Source organism: Homo sapiens, chromosome X (genome assembly GCF_000001405.40).
Source record: "Homo sapiens chromosome X, GRCh38.p14 Primary Assembly".
NCBI classification, from domain to species: Eukaryota; Metazoa; Chordata; class Mammalia; order Primates; family Hominidae; genus Homo; species Homo sapiens.
In genome coordinates this window covers 127,308,183-127,325,381 of record NC_000023.11, presented here as the reverse complement: position 1 = coordinate 127,325,381, position 17,199 = coordinate 127,308,183, and positions in this window count along the sequence as shown.

Here is a 17,199-nt window from a genome sequence, read left to right as displayed (position 1 = left end):
TGTTATATACACACACATATAAGCAGGTTATATCTATCTATATATATAGATATATAGATGTTATATACACACATACACACACATATAAACAGGTTATATCTATCTGTCTATATATGTATAGTTTATATGTATATATAACCTGTTTATGTGTGTATGTGTGTGTGTTTGTGTGTAGAGAGAGAGATAGAGGGAGGTCCTTTTTGTATCGCATATTAAATAACTTATCTTTTCTTTATGTCATTGACAATGTTCATGGTTGCTTGTTTCTTTTGTTTTTTGCTCAGGTTACACCCTTTCTGCAACAATTTGTTAGTCCTTGCCTGTATTCCATAGCTAAGAAAATGTCCTATGAAGTTATTTGGAAGTGCTATGTACATTGTTGGAGCTTGTTGATTTTTGTTCTTCACTGTACAGTGATTCTGCTGGAAAGGTTTCACTGAGGAACTCACCACCTTCTCTGTATTATTCTCCTAAACTTTTTTATTTTGAGATACTTATAGTTTCACAGGAATTTGCAATAATAGTACAGAGAAGTTTCATGTACCCTTGACCTGGTTTTCAATGGCTACATATTTCCTTGTAGGAGTGAGTATTTTATATACAGACCCATAACTAATAATTGATCTCTTAACAATATAATGCTGCTGGTATGCAACAGTGGTTGCAAGTCAGCAGTTTAATAGTGAGGAAATGTAAATCTGCATATATTAGCATAAATCAGAGAAATTATAGGAACCACTGTGGAGCAGAATTCACTCTTATAGACTATGGTGACAGAAAGCATGTCTGGGTTTCAGTGGTCTTCTGGAAGAGTTGATATATTGGTTTCAACGAAATCCTATGCTGTCTTTCAAATGTTCTATTAAAATGAATATTATTAAAACCATGGAACATTGTAATATAGACAATTATAATTTGGTTTTCAAGTTTTGATAGAGATTGAGAACAATATGGAATTTAAAGAAAGGAATAGATTTCATCCCTGAATAACCAATTAGGCAGTATTAAAATAGTTACTTACATATGTGTTTCTGTGTTCCTATTGATATGACGTCATCTGTAATATTGCGATAAGCCCATTTACAACTAGAAGGGACATCAGAAAGAATGTAATCCTTTCATTGTACGTAGAATTAAACCAAGGCCGAGAGTGATGCAATGACTTTCTCAAGTCACATCCAGATTATATGGGTTCTAGTTCAGTGCTTAAGCAGGCATAATTAATTAATTTACTCACTATATATTATCACAAGATCGAGTACACAAAACAAATAGGAAAATATAAAATATGAGTAAGGCTACTTTACATAAGTCACAATCTCAAACTAAAAATTTACCTTCCATTTTAGTTTACTCATTCAGCAGCATTTGATCAGAAACAGACAAGCACACTCATCTGAAAATACGGAAATAGAAATGAGAATCTTCTTGATCTCTGAGAAATTTTTTTCTAGACCACATAATGTTAGCTTAGGACAGAGATGAATGGGGCTGGGATGAGTTCTAAAAAGATAAGTCTACGCCTCACACTTTAGTAAGATAAATTAGCTTAACTAGGATCTAAAGGGATTGTATTTTTATTTTATTTCTGTTTGTTTTCTTATTACAGCCTCAATTCCCCCTGTTAATGATCCGTCCCTAAAAAATAGATACCAATTTTAAAAAGTTGGCGGAAATCTGTGTCAGCTTACATCCATATAGACATGTAGGCCACAAGATTAACTTGTTTTTACTATATAGGTTTTTCTGCTCTTTTTTTTTTTTTTTCTAAATACACAGCTTGACGTGAGACAGTGATCCCAATTTAGTAGCTCTTGGATGGGGCCATGGCCGCTATGATACAGCAGATCATGTTTTAGTTACAGATTGCATATGTAAAATACCCAGCATGCTATCCAGAATATACAGGATTTTAATAAAAACTGGCTTTCTTTCCTTCATCCGTATATTTATCTGTTTCTTCTATTAGACTGTGGGCTGCTCAACACTGGGATATATGCCAATTGTTATCACTTTAGTACACATTTCCTTTGGTACAGAGGCTGGCACTTTGCAGGCACAGTCTTCAATGAAAACTTATCATATTACTGGACTATTCTACAACAAGTTATTACTGTGTGAGATTATATTTATGGGGATAGAGTTGGATCTGTGGTCAACGTAAAATCATAGAATAATGAATGTACCTATCTGAAATTTTTTCAAAATTTGTGAGATTTACATGAGAAAAGCCACATATAAAAGTCTACATATAATTGCATTACTGAAGTAAATGTTAAAAGATAGCTTACAATTGATTGGCTTTGAGCTTATGAAGGGGACCATGCCTTCCACCTTTCGGATAACAACTTAGTACCCCAAACAGTATCATGTTTCTAGAATAAGCTTAATAAATATTGAATTAGTGTATTGTAATTAGCTTTGCCCTTTCAAAAACTATTAAAATTTTTACTTCTCAAGTTATTTTTATTTCCTCTAGCCCACGCTAATACACACTCAGTAGAAACCCAACATTTTATACAATATGTTATTTGGATTTGAAAAAGAAATGTCAAGAACACAGTGAGCAATAGTTGGGATGTGACACTTCGTGAATCTAGTTAATAAAGTCCCTTCAATAGAGTAAAGCCAAGTAGATATTTCTGACTATATTCAATGTCAGCTTTTCCTATTCTTCTCTTAGCACTCTGCATTATCCATGTACTTCTCAGGTTTATTTATTTAAAAACAACTTCTGAATTCCTATTACTTTCAGTGATGCTTGATTGACTGATTTTACTGACTTTTCAGTGGCAAATAATCTAGGTTTACAAGAGGTAAATGTCAAAAAAAAAAGCTTCAATTATGAGGATAATTGGGCAAATGACTGGGCATGACTGTTTTATATCATACATGTTTTAATAGAAGCTTAGTCTTGACATTCCATATAGAAATAAAGTCATAAGGGTCAGTGAGCAAATTCATTTTATAAGTATGTATTGTAGAACATCTGATATGAACAAGAATATGAAATGGTTATTGCACTCAAGTGGTTCATATTCTAGAAGAGGAGACAAAAATATAAGCAACGTTTGACCCATAATTACTTGAAAACACTACGTAAACAGTAACATCATAGACATCCAGACAAAGTATAGTGTGAGAAAAGAAAATAATGCAGTTGAAAGTAGGATTTAATTTTGGCATTGGTATTTTTAAAATAAGTATGACCTTAACAGTCAGAGATAGAGCTGATGTCATTCCAAGGAGAGAAAACATCATGAACAAATGCAAAGAACCACACAAGTGCAGCCCGAAGTACTTATAGCAGAGTAAAGAATGATCAGAATCCAGGCTAAAGAGGTAGGTTAAGAGAGATGATGGTACTTTTGAATACCATGAGGAATTTAGATATTATTCAAAAGACAAAGGACAGTTTTAGAGAAAGTAAATGGCATAATCAATTTTGAAATTTAGTAAGATCAATGTGGTAGGAGTGTAGTAGTTTAAAATCAGTACAAATCAGAGGGAAAAGGGCATATTGCAATAGACCCTAAGCATGAAAAAAGGGACTGAATTAGGGAAGAGGTGATGAATGGATAAGGGATATGTGACAAATATCATGCAGTGTAAATCAATACACAGTGTAATCAGAGAGCAACACCAACCCTTCTACCATAGAGTATGGTAATACACAGAATACGTGACAAGGAATATGACCTGATGTGAAACTATTGTGGATGAATTGAATGTCATAGAATTAAACTGATTATGGGAAGGCTCAGTTGGGAGCAGCTGATCTTTAAATATCAATCCATGTGATTCTAAGAGAAACTCCAACTCAAGGATAGGTGAATCAGTGGTATTCCCTCACAGATAAGATGGTCAATAACATTAGTCCAACATTACTTGGACTCATATCTTTACATTTTTGGAACATTTTTATTCGAAAACAACCTTTAAAAAGATCAGCACTATTCACAATAGCAAAGTCATGGACTCAATCTTACAGTCCATCAATGGTGGATTGAATGAAGCAAATGTGGTACATATACACCATGGAATAATATGCAGTCATAAAGATAAGGGAATCATGTGCTTTGCAGCAATATGGATGAAACTTCAGGTCATTATCCTAAGTACATTAACACAGAAACAGAAAACCAAATACCACATGTTCTCACATAGGAGAGCTAAATAATGGGAACACATGGACACAAAGATGCAAAAAAAAAAAAAAAATAGACACTAGGGACTTAAAAGAGGGGCAGGGGCAGGTCGTGGTGTCTCCAATCTGTAAATCCAGAACTTTGGGAGGCCAAAGTGGGCAGATCACTTGAGGCCAGAAGTTTGAGACCAGCCTGGTCAACATGGAGAAACCCTGTCTCTAACAAACATATAAAAGTTAGCCGGGCATGGTGGCACACACATGTAGTCCCAGTTACATAGGAGGCTGAGGCATGAGAATGGTTTGAAACCAGAAGGCAGAGGTTGCAGTGTGCTGATATTGTGCTACTGCACTCCAGCCTGAGAGACAGATGGAGACTCTGTCTTACAAAAAAGAGGCATAGGTAGGGAGGGGAGAAAGGGTTAAAAACCTCCCTGTTGGGTACTATGTTCACTATTTGGGTGATGGGTTCACTAGAAGCCCAAACCCCAGCATTAAGCAATATACACATGTAACAAATATGCACCCCCGGAATCTAAAATTTAAAGAAGAGAGATCAGTGAATTATAAAGTATATGGAAAATACTTTCATATAAAGTTAAGCACTTGGAGTTTACTTAAATAATTGAAGTGCAAATCATCCTTGGCTCTGTAGGTGCAAAATCTTGGTGGGCATGGCTGGGAAACTTTACAGAAAATCAGAAATGGTTTTGTTGTTTTATTTCATTTTTCTTTTCAGGTGTGAGTCATCTCGTGTAAAATCAAAATGCAAGGGTTTTTTAGAAGTCAAAAACATTATTTCTACACACCAAGTAATGGAAAATTTTTAGGGTAAATGTGCATATTTCCAGGCATGGCTACTATTCAAAGAAAATACTGCAAATCATGTGGGAGACTTCTCAACAGACTTAAGGATTAGGGCCCTTTAGATACTGGTTATAGCATGTGCAAATGCAGTGGGTTTTTATAATTACATTACAATCACACTGTTAGCTGCTGGGGCACTTCTGTGGCTAATTCCATGGTTATTAAAATCCTGTAATTAGAATTTACTTTTGCAGACTTTAGTGTCAAGACAAGAGTAACTGTAGCAGCAGCACCTACACCTGCACAGATTTATATTTCTAACTGGAATGAAAACATGTTTTTTGATAAAACACTGTCGGTATTATTTGAAGGCAACAAGTAAAGGACAATGTGCGTAATTTAATATTCACACTACTATAGTCACTATCTGATCACAATTGGCATTGGAAAGGATGACATTTCTCTTGTAGACAAGAGTACTTTCCAGTAGGCAGTGACTACTGATTGTATGTCTCTATTGCATGTGTCCTCAATCATAGAGACTGGAACAAAAAATGCCTGCATTATATAGGTAATTAATGCTTGCTGTAGAAATAATATATGCCGTAATGTTAGTTGCTCATAAAAAACCAGATGTTCCTGCATGGACATTTATTTTGCGCAGCTTTATCCCAAGCAGTGATTCAGAGTTCCAGGCTCCTTCTATTTAGTGGCCAATGTCAAGGGCTTCCTTAGAATACTGCACTATATAATACACATTTAGCCATCTGTTGAAAAGAGTGAGATTTACACAACACAAACAAACACACGCACACACACACACAGAGAGAGAGAGAGAGAGAAAGAGAGATAAATGATCAAGCAGATTTTTAGCAGCCCAGTATGGATTTGACATTCATCACTGTCTACATTCTACATTCTACAATTAGTCACTTGCCAATACCCAGACGCAAAAGGACCGATACATATTGTCTTTTTGTATGTATAGGTGGATAGGAAAATGGTGTGGAAACTGAATTTTCAGCACATTACGTTAAGACATGGTTTACGTGAAATTTAATTATGTCCATGGGGGAAGGCACAAAACATTCCTGATTAAAGAGGAAGATTCCGATAAAACAACTGAGGATCTAGGATTGCACTATTTTTGCATAAAAAGAGTCATGAATTGATTCCTGTCATATATTTCAGCCTGTGTGATTGTGGCATGGTCCAGTAAAAACACTAGGAGTTTAAATACTTACTGTCTTGACCTCATTACTTGTTATGTGACCTTTGATACAGTCCATAACTATTTCAGTCTTATCATTGGTGGTCAGAAACCGATAACCCAGATTATGGCATTTTGCTGAACTGAAGGAGAAGCCACAAGGTCTCTCTGACCTTCCCTCCACGACCCTCCCACCACTGCCTCCTATCTCTCAATCCAATGTGTCTCCTAAAACACGGAATAAAGTTGTTCTCTGAAGTTCCTTATCTCCCTAAAGTCCAGACTTGTCAACAGAAAAACAACAAAAACTGAGTGTTCATTAACTAAACTCACACTATAAGAAGAAAGAGTGAAATCTGTTAATCTGTCAATAAACCTGCACAGTCTTTTGTCATGAACCTTGTTAGCTCTGGGGGTCCAATAGACTTTGTCCCAGGCCCATTGTATTCTTCAAGTCCATTGAATTCCTCTAAAAATAATTTACTTCCCTTTGCGTGCTAATAAATTTGTATACCATTTTGTCAGTTGATTTTTCAGAGAAACTTCAGAGGGCAAAGGGGACGTTTTCCCTAGACCCCTATATCATCTGTCTGTAAAATGAAACTACTAATTCTAGCCTTTATATTTCACAATTTATACAAGATAGCTATGATAGAACTAAAGTGAAAGTAGCACAATGCACATCATATAGTAACCTGACCTGCCAACTGGGAATAACTCCTATGCTTTTCTTTTATTCCTGCCAACTCTAATTTCTCCTGGTTTCCTTCTTATCACACAAAAATTGTTGTTAAATAGAATATTATGGGCTGACAGATAAGACTTTAATTATAATCTTCATCTCTGTGCTTTTCTTTGGTTATTCCAGCATGGAAAAGTGAGTACTCTACAGAAGGCTATGTATTTCACGGGACAGGTCTACTGAGAAGTGCTGAGCATAATACATAAAATAACTAAAATAACACGCAGAAATAACAAATTTTATTTTAACAATTTCTAGCTGAATTTTTAGTTCTTTTTAAATAAAAATAGCCAGATGAAGTGGCTCATGCCTGTAATCCCAGCACTTTGGGAGGACAAAGTGGGTGGGTCACTTGAGCTCAGGAGTTTGAGACCAGCCTGGGCAACATAGTGAAATCCCATCCCTTCAAAAAATACAAACATTAGCGGGATATGATGTTGTGCACCTGTGGTCCCCAAATACTCCTGATACAGAGTTGGGAAGATCGCTTGAGCTGGGGCGGTGGAGTCTGCAGTGAGCCAAAATCGCACCACTGCCCTCCATCCTGAGTGGCAGAGCAAGATCCTGTCTCAAATAAACTAAAAAAATAAATTAAAATAAACCTTTTAATACTGTAAACAAAGACAATTGGATCTCAATGTAGAACAAAGATGGACCTTTTCCTCTCACTTTCATCCTTCTTCCAGTTTATTTTTAGTACCACTTTTATGCAAATATTTGTATGAAGCAAGGTAGCACAGTTTGGTATTAGCTTATTCCAAATGCAAAATAGCTAAAGAGTTACTAAATAAGGAAAATTGAGGTCGCATATTAATAGATATTGGTAAGAGAAGTCAAATTAATAATTGGCCTTTTAAGGTGAGGTATTTTTTTTCCCCGATACCGGAAATGCATTTTATATCATGAGTTTTTCATTTGATTCTAAGACTCTGAAACAGAAGAGGTTTGTATAAGGCAAACATAATTTTTGAAACCATAGAGAGACCAGTCTATTGAATATGTTAAAATAATTAAATGGGAGAGGCCGTTAAACAGGTGGTTCTAATACCCTGCATTCCTATATAAGCAAACAAAACCTAACTCTGATTCATTTCCTTTAAGCACCTAATGTAAAAGAAAACGAAACTTGAGCTCAGCCAATCACAGGTGGCCAACTGGGTATTAGTTATATTTTCAGGACCTTCCCACCAGGATAGTACAAATAAGGCAATTGGTCAAACTTTAAGCAATAATTTATTTGCTCTCCTTCACATTCACCCTATAAAAGTTTTCCTTTCAACCACCTCCAGAGTTCCTTTCAACCACCTCCAGAGGAGCAAAAGAGCTCCTCTGGAGGTGGTTGAAAGGAAAACTTTTATTTTAAAATGTTGAAGTGCCAAGATTTATCTTTCAACAAATACTAATGATCTCCTCATGGATAACAATAAAAAGTAAACATGTTAAAATTAATAAAATCTTCAGTATTACAACCGATTCAATTCAATTTGAATATACAGTTTTAAATACTAATTAGCAATTTACATTAACATTATTACCAATCAATATGAAATCCAGCAATTGTTGCTGTGTCAATGGTTTGGAAAGGGGGCTATATTTTGCTGAGGATGAACATAGAGCCTCTCAATATAACCTGGTTATTCAGTCTAACAATATTTAATTATTGAATACCTGCTGACTGCATACCATTAGACAAAAATGCTAGAGAAAAACACAAAAAATATGCAAGAGATGTCAAAGTTAACATGATTAAAGAGACAATGTGCCTTTAGAGAACAATATTTAAATAAAATTATAAAATAATAAGTAAATTTATTTTTCCTGCTCCAATAGCACTTTCAACGGAAAGTAATCATTGCACCCTAAAGAGATAGTGTGGTTTCAGGGACATTGTCAGTTAGTTTGGATTTTGCTTGAGGACAACATCCCAGGCAGAGAGAGAATGGCATGAGAACAGGTATAGAAGCTGTAATGAGTGGGAAAGTGGAGGGTGCTGACTAGAAAGGTGAATTTTTACATGTTAAACAAAACAACAGGTAGACAAGGCAAGAAAACTAGAATATAATCAACTTGGAAAGCTAGACTGAGGTTGGTTTGTGGATATATTTCTATAGGAAATTGTAAAATTTTTGCACAGAAGAATGCCATCATGAAAGCAATATTTGGGATCAAACATTGCTTTATAAACCTTTAGCTAATGAAGCACACTGAACAATCTGGTATTCCAGAAAGCACACTCTCATCACTACTTTATTCTTTTTTACACATTGTAATTCTTGAATCATTTTATTGAAGCAGCCTAGGTGCCTAAGCAAAAGTGATAAAGCGTTGTGGTTAAGAAACCCTACCTCCTTACACTAAAATTTTTACATTGTCTTTTCATCCTGGCCCTACTACATTTTTAGTTAAGTGACTTTGGCCAAATTACTTAATTTCATTGTACTTCATTCAGTTCTCTTGTTTTCACCGTGAAGAAAATAATAGGGTTATTATAGGATTTTATAGATTGGGAATCCAAACTATTCAGAAAGTTCTTAGGGATTTACAATGCTTGGTACATCGTAAGCACTCAGTAAAAGTTAGTTATTATTTTTATTATTCCAGTCTCGTATGCCAAGATGCATATGGTTGTTGGTGTTTGCAAAATGGTTGGAGCCATATAAACATTCACATTTTCAGATAAAACTCAATAAATTGTGAGAAGAGACCTTAAGTCTCACACCAAAGATGATAATATATATTGTAAATAAGTCAACGTGAAAATAAACAGCAGATGTTTCACTAAACTAAGATAAACTCAGAGAATACAGTCAATTCCCATTTTAACTCAGCTGTTTTATATACATTCATGTATATTCATTTCAATTCAACAAGTTTTAAAAAGAATTTCTATGGTGAATCCAGCAGTACTTATGAATCACTGAGCTATTCATAAGAAATACAAAGTGCAGGCCCAGTACTCAAGGAGCCACTTCCATTTTAAGCATGTGTAAACAATACTCAGGTCAAAATTAATTTTCTCCCATGAGGATTCCCATAAATCAAAGCTTAAAAAACACATTGCTCTTCTAACACAAATGTTATTATTTTTCCTAAATCAGTAATATAAAACAATCAACTGTGTTCTTTTTTCTTATATATAAAGATATGTTAATTCAGCAAAGTAGTACTGTTAGTTCCTTTGTTCAGAATCATAGTCTGGGGATCATTAGGGCCCAAAAACCTCCTAACGTAAGCTTATCACATTTGTTTTCACAAAGCCTTGACAGAAATTTCATCAGTACATGAGAAAAATGACATTAGCACAAAAAATTTATGTTTAATTATTATGGAATTTAATGTTACCCTTGTAAAAGTGGTGAGAACACCTGCAAATAACAATAATTACATTAAGTGGCATTTTCTCTAGTAATTCTGTATTAAAAATCATAATAACTGTAAGAAAGTCCTTTCTATAATCCCCAATTTAGGTAGTAGGGAACAAGTCTTACATCAAATAAAAACTCACTTTCATTAGCTACAGATGATGCTATAAGTCCTGCTATCTGCATCTGAAAAATATATAAATTCAATTACTTTCCCCTCACGAGGATGAGATTCAATAATCACATTCTATTTTGTTTTGTTACTGGATCATGGTAACGTCTTAGTCCATTTAGGCTGCTATAACAAAAATTCCATAGACTGGGTGGCTTAAAAACAAATACTTGTTTTTTATAGTTGTGGAGAACAAAAATCCAATATCCAGGCACCAGCACATGTGGTATCTGGTGAGGGCCTTCTTCTGGGTTACAGACTGATGACTTCTTGTTGTATTTTCACATAGAGAGAAGAGCTCACTGTGGTCTATTTTTTAAGGGCACCAATCCCATTCATAAGGGTTCCACACTCGACCTAATCACCTGCCAAAAGACCCACATCTTAATACATTGGAATTAGGGCTTCAACAAATGAATTTTAGGAAATACAAGCAATCAGTCCACTGTTGTGCCATATTTTTGGTGCTGGTGAAATTAAAATGTATACAAACAACACCTACAGTGGCACATAATCACATACATCAATTTTATGAGGTTATTTGGGTTTTCTGAAGTTTGAATGCAATGACTTTTACTTCATTTACTAATAGATTCACCTTATTTATTCTCCAGTTAGAAATAAAAGTATTATCCTTATGTGTGATTTTTCAGCTTTGATGTTAATTTAAAAGTCAGTGTTTAAAAGAAGCTTTTGACACATGTATACATATGCAACAAACCTGCACGTTATGCACATGTACCCTAGAACTTAAAGTATAATAAAATATATAGATATATATAAATAAAAATAAAAATAAAAGAAGCCTTTGAAAATTTGGAGCTATCATCAAAGTATCCTGACTTATATTTATAGAAGTATATTATTATTCCCTAACTTCCACCTTAGACTTTGTCTTCTAAAAAGCACCTTTAACTGTTTTAGACATAAAACTCTTTTTCTAATCTTGTCACATTAAAAGGTAAAGTTTTGTTCACTGGTTATTAAATAAATTAAAAATAGCAAATTTAAGGCTTTCAGTAATTTAAACTATTGTATTTCAAAAAAAGTTTCATTTATATTCACTGCAAAATCACTTTTCCATTTTGTCTCAAATATGCTGACGTGGCATTCCATCCAACTTATTTCTCAATTGAAACCTTGTGATATAGTTTGGCTCTGTATCCCCACTCAAATCTCTTCTCCAATTGTAATCTCCATAATCCCCATGTGTGGAGGGTGGAAACTGGTGAGAGATGATTGGAACACAAGGACATTTTCCCCCATGCTGTTCTCATGATAGTGAGTGAGTTCTTCATGAGATCTGATGGTTTTATAAGTGTTTGACAGTTCCTCCTATACATGCTTTCTTCTCTCTCCTACAGCCATGTGAAGAAGGTCCTTGCTTCCCCTTTCCCTTCCAGCATGATTGTAAGTTTCTTGAGATCTCCCCAGCCATGTGGAATTGTGAGTCAATTAATCCTCTTTCCTTTATAAATTATCCAGTCTTGGGTATTCTTTATAGCAGTGTGAAAATGGACTAATACACCTTAGCACTGTAGCACAGTCAGATTAAATCCATGTAAAAAATTAGCCAAATTTTAATGTATGTATATATTTTGTATGCATAAAACAGGAAACATCTTGATAAATTACTAAACTTAGTTTTGTATAATAGAAGTAGTCTAATTTATGTCAGATATATGAATTCTAGGGTTCTGTTCCTGACAGAAAGTTCCCATGTGACTTTGAGTATACCATTAAACCTATCTGTATCTCAATTTCTTCTTCTAAAGACTGGAAAAGATAATATATCTTCCCAACTTTTCTCTCAAAATTGTTGTGAATGTCAAATGATGCAATTATTGTGGAAATACTTTGGAATGTATGAAGCAATATATACCTTCAAGATGTAGTTATCCAGTTAGCCATTGTGATTGATTCAACGTACCTCTTTGTCATTTCTATTTTAATTCAGGGCAGAGACTATGTATCTAATAGTCTTAAAAATTCTCTACATCTATTGCAAGCACCACAACTTGTGCCAAAGAAGTGGTTCATCAAGTTTAAGAATCTGGATTTGGCCAGGCATTGCTTCGTCATTTAAAAAAAAAAAAAAAAAAAAAGAACAAAGTTGACATCCCTAGGAAAAGTTGAAGTGATAAAATAAAATAGTTCAATTGGCAAGAAAGTACCTGGAGCAGAGAAGATAAGAGATGGATGAGAAGTCACTGCTAAGTTGAAAAATATGGTCTCTGGAATCCTTGTACTTTATAAAGTACTTTTTTTTTGCCCATATATATACTTCTCCAGGGATACACACTCCCTGACGCAAAACCGCCATTTTTAGGAAATAATTGTACCAAGCATCATAGGATAATAGCTATGACTACATACCTATATTTAGTGATGAGATAAACAACAAAAACTGTCCTAGTAAATTAAGACAGTGAAGATATGCAACCATTTAACCCTGAAGCTGTCAGTCAATTTCATCTCAGCTCCATTCAACATTCATAAATTACTTAATTACTTACTTTATGGTACATACCATGAAGCCATTGAGAATAAACGTAGTGAAAATGTGGCTTCTACCCTTTAGAAACTTGACAGAGATTATCAGGTTAAATATTGAATATATAGATATTTCAGAAAAACTGTGATGCCAATAAGAATCAAGTATGAAAGGAACCACATTAAAGACCAAAGGCTGGGAGGGCATTAAAAAGGATACATTTTATAAATGCTGGCCTCATTTACTATTGAATAATTATCTTATGGGAATTCAATAGTAATAGAGAGAAAAGACATCTATACATCTGAGACATGAGGACTTACAAATGATTAAACAAGACAGGAAAGAATGAATACACTGAAGAAAAATTGAGTAAACCTAGGAAGAAATTCCACAGAGATTTTGTCACCAAGTCTTTGAGAAATAAGGTTATTAGGACAGGCAAAACAACAAAATCAGTTATTCTGTTACACTTACTAAACTGTAGTCATACTGACGCTGCAGAAAATAAGAATTAATCTTAATATTGCCACTTTTTTATTTTAATAATATTTATTCATTTTTTATTACAGTTTAAATTCTGGGATACATGTGCAGAACATGCAGGTTTGTTACATAGGTGTACATATGCCATGGTGGTTTGCTGCACCCATCAACCCGTCATCTACTTTAGGTATTTCTCCTAATGCTATCCCTCTTCTTGCCCCCCAACCCCCAGCAGGCCCCAGTGTGTGATGTTCCCCTCCCTGTGTCCATGTGCTCTCATTATTCAACTCCCACTTATGAGTGAGAACATGCGGTGTTTGGTTTTATGTTCTGTGTTGGTTTCTGAGAATGACTTCCAGCTTCATCCATATCCCTGCAAAGGACATGAACTCATTTTTTATGGCTGCATAGTATTCCATGGTTGGTTGGTTCCAGGTCTTTGCTATTGTAAATAGTGCTGCAATAAACATATGTGTGCATGTGTATTTATAGTAGAATAATTTATAATCCTTTGGGTATATACTCAGTAGTGAGATTGCTGGGTCAAATGGTATTTCTTGTTCTAGATCCTTGAGGAATCACCAGATTGTCTTCCACAATGGTTGAACTAAGCTACACTCACATCAACGGTGTAAAAGTGTTCCTATTTCTCCACAGCCTCGCCAGCATCTGTTTTTTTCCTGTCTTTTGGATATCGCCATTCTAACTGGTGTGAGATGGTATCTTATTGTGGTTTTGATTTGCATTTCTCTAATGAGCAGTGTTGATGAGCTATTTTTCATATGTTTATTGGCCACATAAATGTCTTCTTTTGAGAAGTGTCTGTTTATGTCTTTTGCCCATTTTTTGATGGAGTTGTTTTTTTTTTCTTGTAAATTTGTTTAAGTTCCTTGTGGATTCTGGATATTAGACCTTTGTCAGATGGGTAGTTTGCAAAAACTTTCTCCCATTCTGTAAGTTGTCTGTTCACTCTGATGATAGTTTCTTTTGCTGTGCAGAAGCTCTCTAGTTTGATTAGAGCCCATTAGTCAATTTTGGTTTTGTTGCAATTGCTTTTGGTGTTTTAATACTGAAGTATTTGCCCATGCTTATTTCCTGAATGGTATTGCCTAGGTTTTCTTCTAGGGTTTTTATGGTTTGGGGTTTTACATTTAAGTCTTTAATCCATCTTGAGTTAGTTTTTGTATAAGGTGTAAGGAAGGGGTCCGGTTTCTGTTTTCTGCATAAGGCCAGCCAGTTTTCCCAACACCATTTATTAAATAGGGAATCCTTTCCCCGTTGCTTGCTTTTGTCAGGTTTGTCAAAGACCAGATGGTTGTACATGTGTGCTGTTATTTCTAATGTCTCTGTTCTTTTCCTGTGGTCTATATATCTGTTTAGGTACCAGTACCATGTTGTTTTGGTTACTGTAGCCTTGTAGTATAGTATGAAGTCAGGTAGCATGATGTCTCCAGCTTTGTTCTTTTTGCTTAGGATTGTCTTGGCTATATGCACTCTTTTTGGTTCCATATGAAATTTAAAGTAGTTTTTTTCTAATTGTGTGAAGAAAGTCACTGGTAGCTTGATGGGAATAACATTGAATCTATGAATTACTTTAGGCAGTATGGCCATTTTCACAATATTGATTCTTCCTATCCATGAGCATGGACTGTTTTCCCATTTGTTTGTGTCCTCTCTTATTTCCTTGAGCAGTGGTTTGTAGTTCTCCTTGAAGAGGTCCTCCACATCCCTTGTAAGTTGTATTACTTGGTATTTTATTCTCTTTGTAGCAATTGTGAATGGGAGTTCACTCATGATTTGGCTCTCTGCTTGTCTATTGTTGGTGTATAGGAATGCTTGTGATTTTTGCACGTTGATTTTGTATCCCGAGACTTTGCTGAAGTTGCTTAACAGCTTAAGGAGTTTTTTGGGCTGAGATGATGGGGTTTTCTAAATATACAATCATGTCATCTTCAAACCGAGACAATTTGACTTCCCCTCTTATTTGAATATGCTTTATTTCTTTCTCTTGCCTGATTGCTCTGGCCAGAACTTCCAATACTATGTTGAATAGGAGTGCTGAGAGAGGACATCCTTGTCTTGTGCCAGTTTTCAAAGGGAATGCTTCCAGCTTTTGCCCATTCAGCATGATATTGGCTCTGGGTTTGTCATAAATAGCTCTTATTATTTTGAGATTAGTTCCATCAATACCTAGTTTATTGAGAGTTTTTAGCATGAAAGGATGCTGGATTTTATCAAAGGCCTTTTCTGCATCTATTGAGATAATCTTGTGGTTTTTGTCATTGGTTGTGTTTATGTGATGGATTACGTTTATTGATTTGCATATGTTAAACCAGTCTTGCATCCCAGGGATGAAGCTGACTTGATTGTGGTAAATAAGATTTTGTTGTGCTGCTGGATTCGGTTTGCCAGTATTTTATTGAGGATTTTTGCATCAATGTTCACCAGGGATATTGGCCTGAAATTTTCTTTTTCGTTGTTGTGTCTCTGCCAGGTTTTGGTATCAGGATGATGCTGGCCTCATAAAATGAGTCAAGAAGGAGTCCCTTTTTCAATTGTTTGCATTAATTTCAGAAGGAATGATACCAGCTCCTCCTTGTACCTCTGGTACAATTTGGCTGTGAATCTGTCCAGTCCTGGGCTTTTTTGTTTGGTAGTCTATTAATTACTGCCTCAGTTTCACAACTTGTTATTCGTCTGTTCAGGAATTCGACTTCTTCCTGGTTTAGGCTTGGGAGGGTGTATGTGTCCAGGAGTTTATCCATTTCTTCTAGATTTTCTAATTTTTTTTTGGTAGAGGTGTTTGTAGTATTCTCTGATAGTAGTTTGTATTTCTGTGGGATCAGTGGTGATATCCCGTTATCATATTTTATTGTGTCTATTGTGTGTATTTCACTCTTCTTTCTTTCCTTTATTTGTCTAGCTAGTGGCCCATCTATTTTGTTAATTAAAAAAACAGCTCCTGGATTCATGGATTTTTTGAAAGGTTTTTGTGACTCTATCTCCTTCAGTTCTGCTCTGATCTTAGTTATTTCTTGTCTTCTGCTAGCATTTGAATTTGTTTGCTCTTGCTGCTCTAGTTCTTAGAATTGTCATGTTAGGGTGTTGATTTTAGATCTTTCCAGCTTTCTGTTGTGGGCATTTAGTGCTGTAAACTTCCCTCTTAACACTGCTTTAGTTGTGTCGCAGTGATTCTGGTAAGTTGTCTCTTTTTTCTCATTGGTTTCAATGAACTTCTTTATTTCTGCCTTAATTTTATTATTACCCGGTAATCATTCAGGTTGTTCAATTTCCATGTAATGTTGTGGTTTTGAGTGAGTTTTAACCCTGAGTTCTAATTTGATTGCACTGTGGTCTGAGAGACTGTTTGTTATGATTTCTGTTCTTTTGCATTTGCTGAGGAGTGTTTCACTTCCAATTTTGTGGTCAATTTTAGAATATGTGCTATGTGGCGCTGAGAAACATGTATATTATTTTCATATGGGGTGAAGAGTTCTGTAGATGTCAATTAGGTCCACTTGGTCCAGAGCTGAATTCAAGCCCTGAATATCCTTGTTAATTTTCTGTCTCATTGATCAATCTAATATTGACAGTGGGGTGTTAAAGTCTCCCATTATTATTGTGTGGGAGTCTAAGTCTCTTCATAGGTCTCTAAGAACTTGTTTTATGAATCTTGGTGCTCCTATTTTGGATGCATATATATTTAGGATAGTTAGCTCTTCCTGTTGCATTGATCCCTTGACCATTATGTAATGCCCGTCTTTGTCTTTTTTGATCTT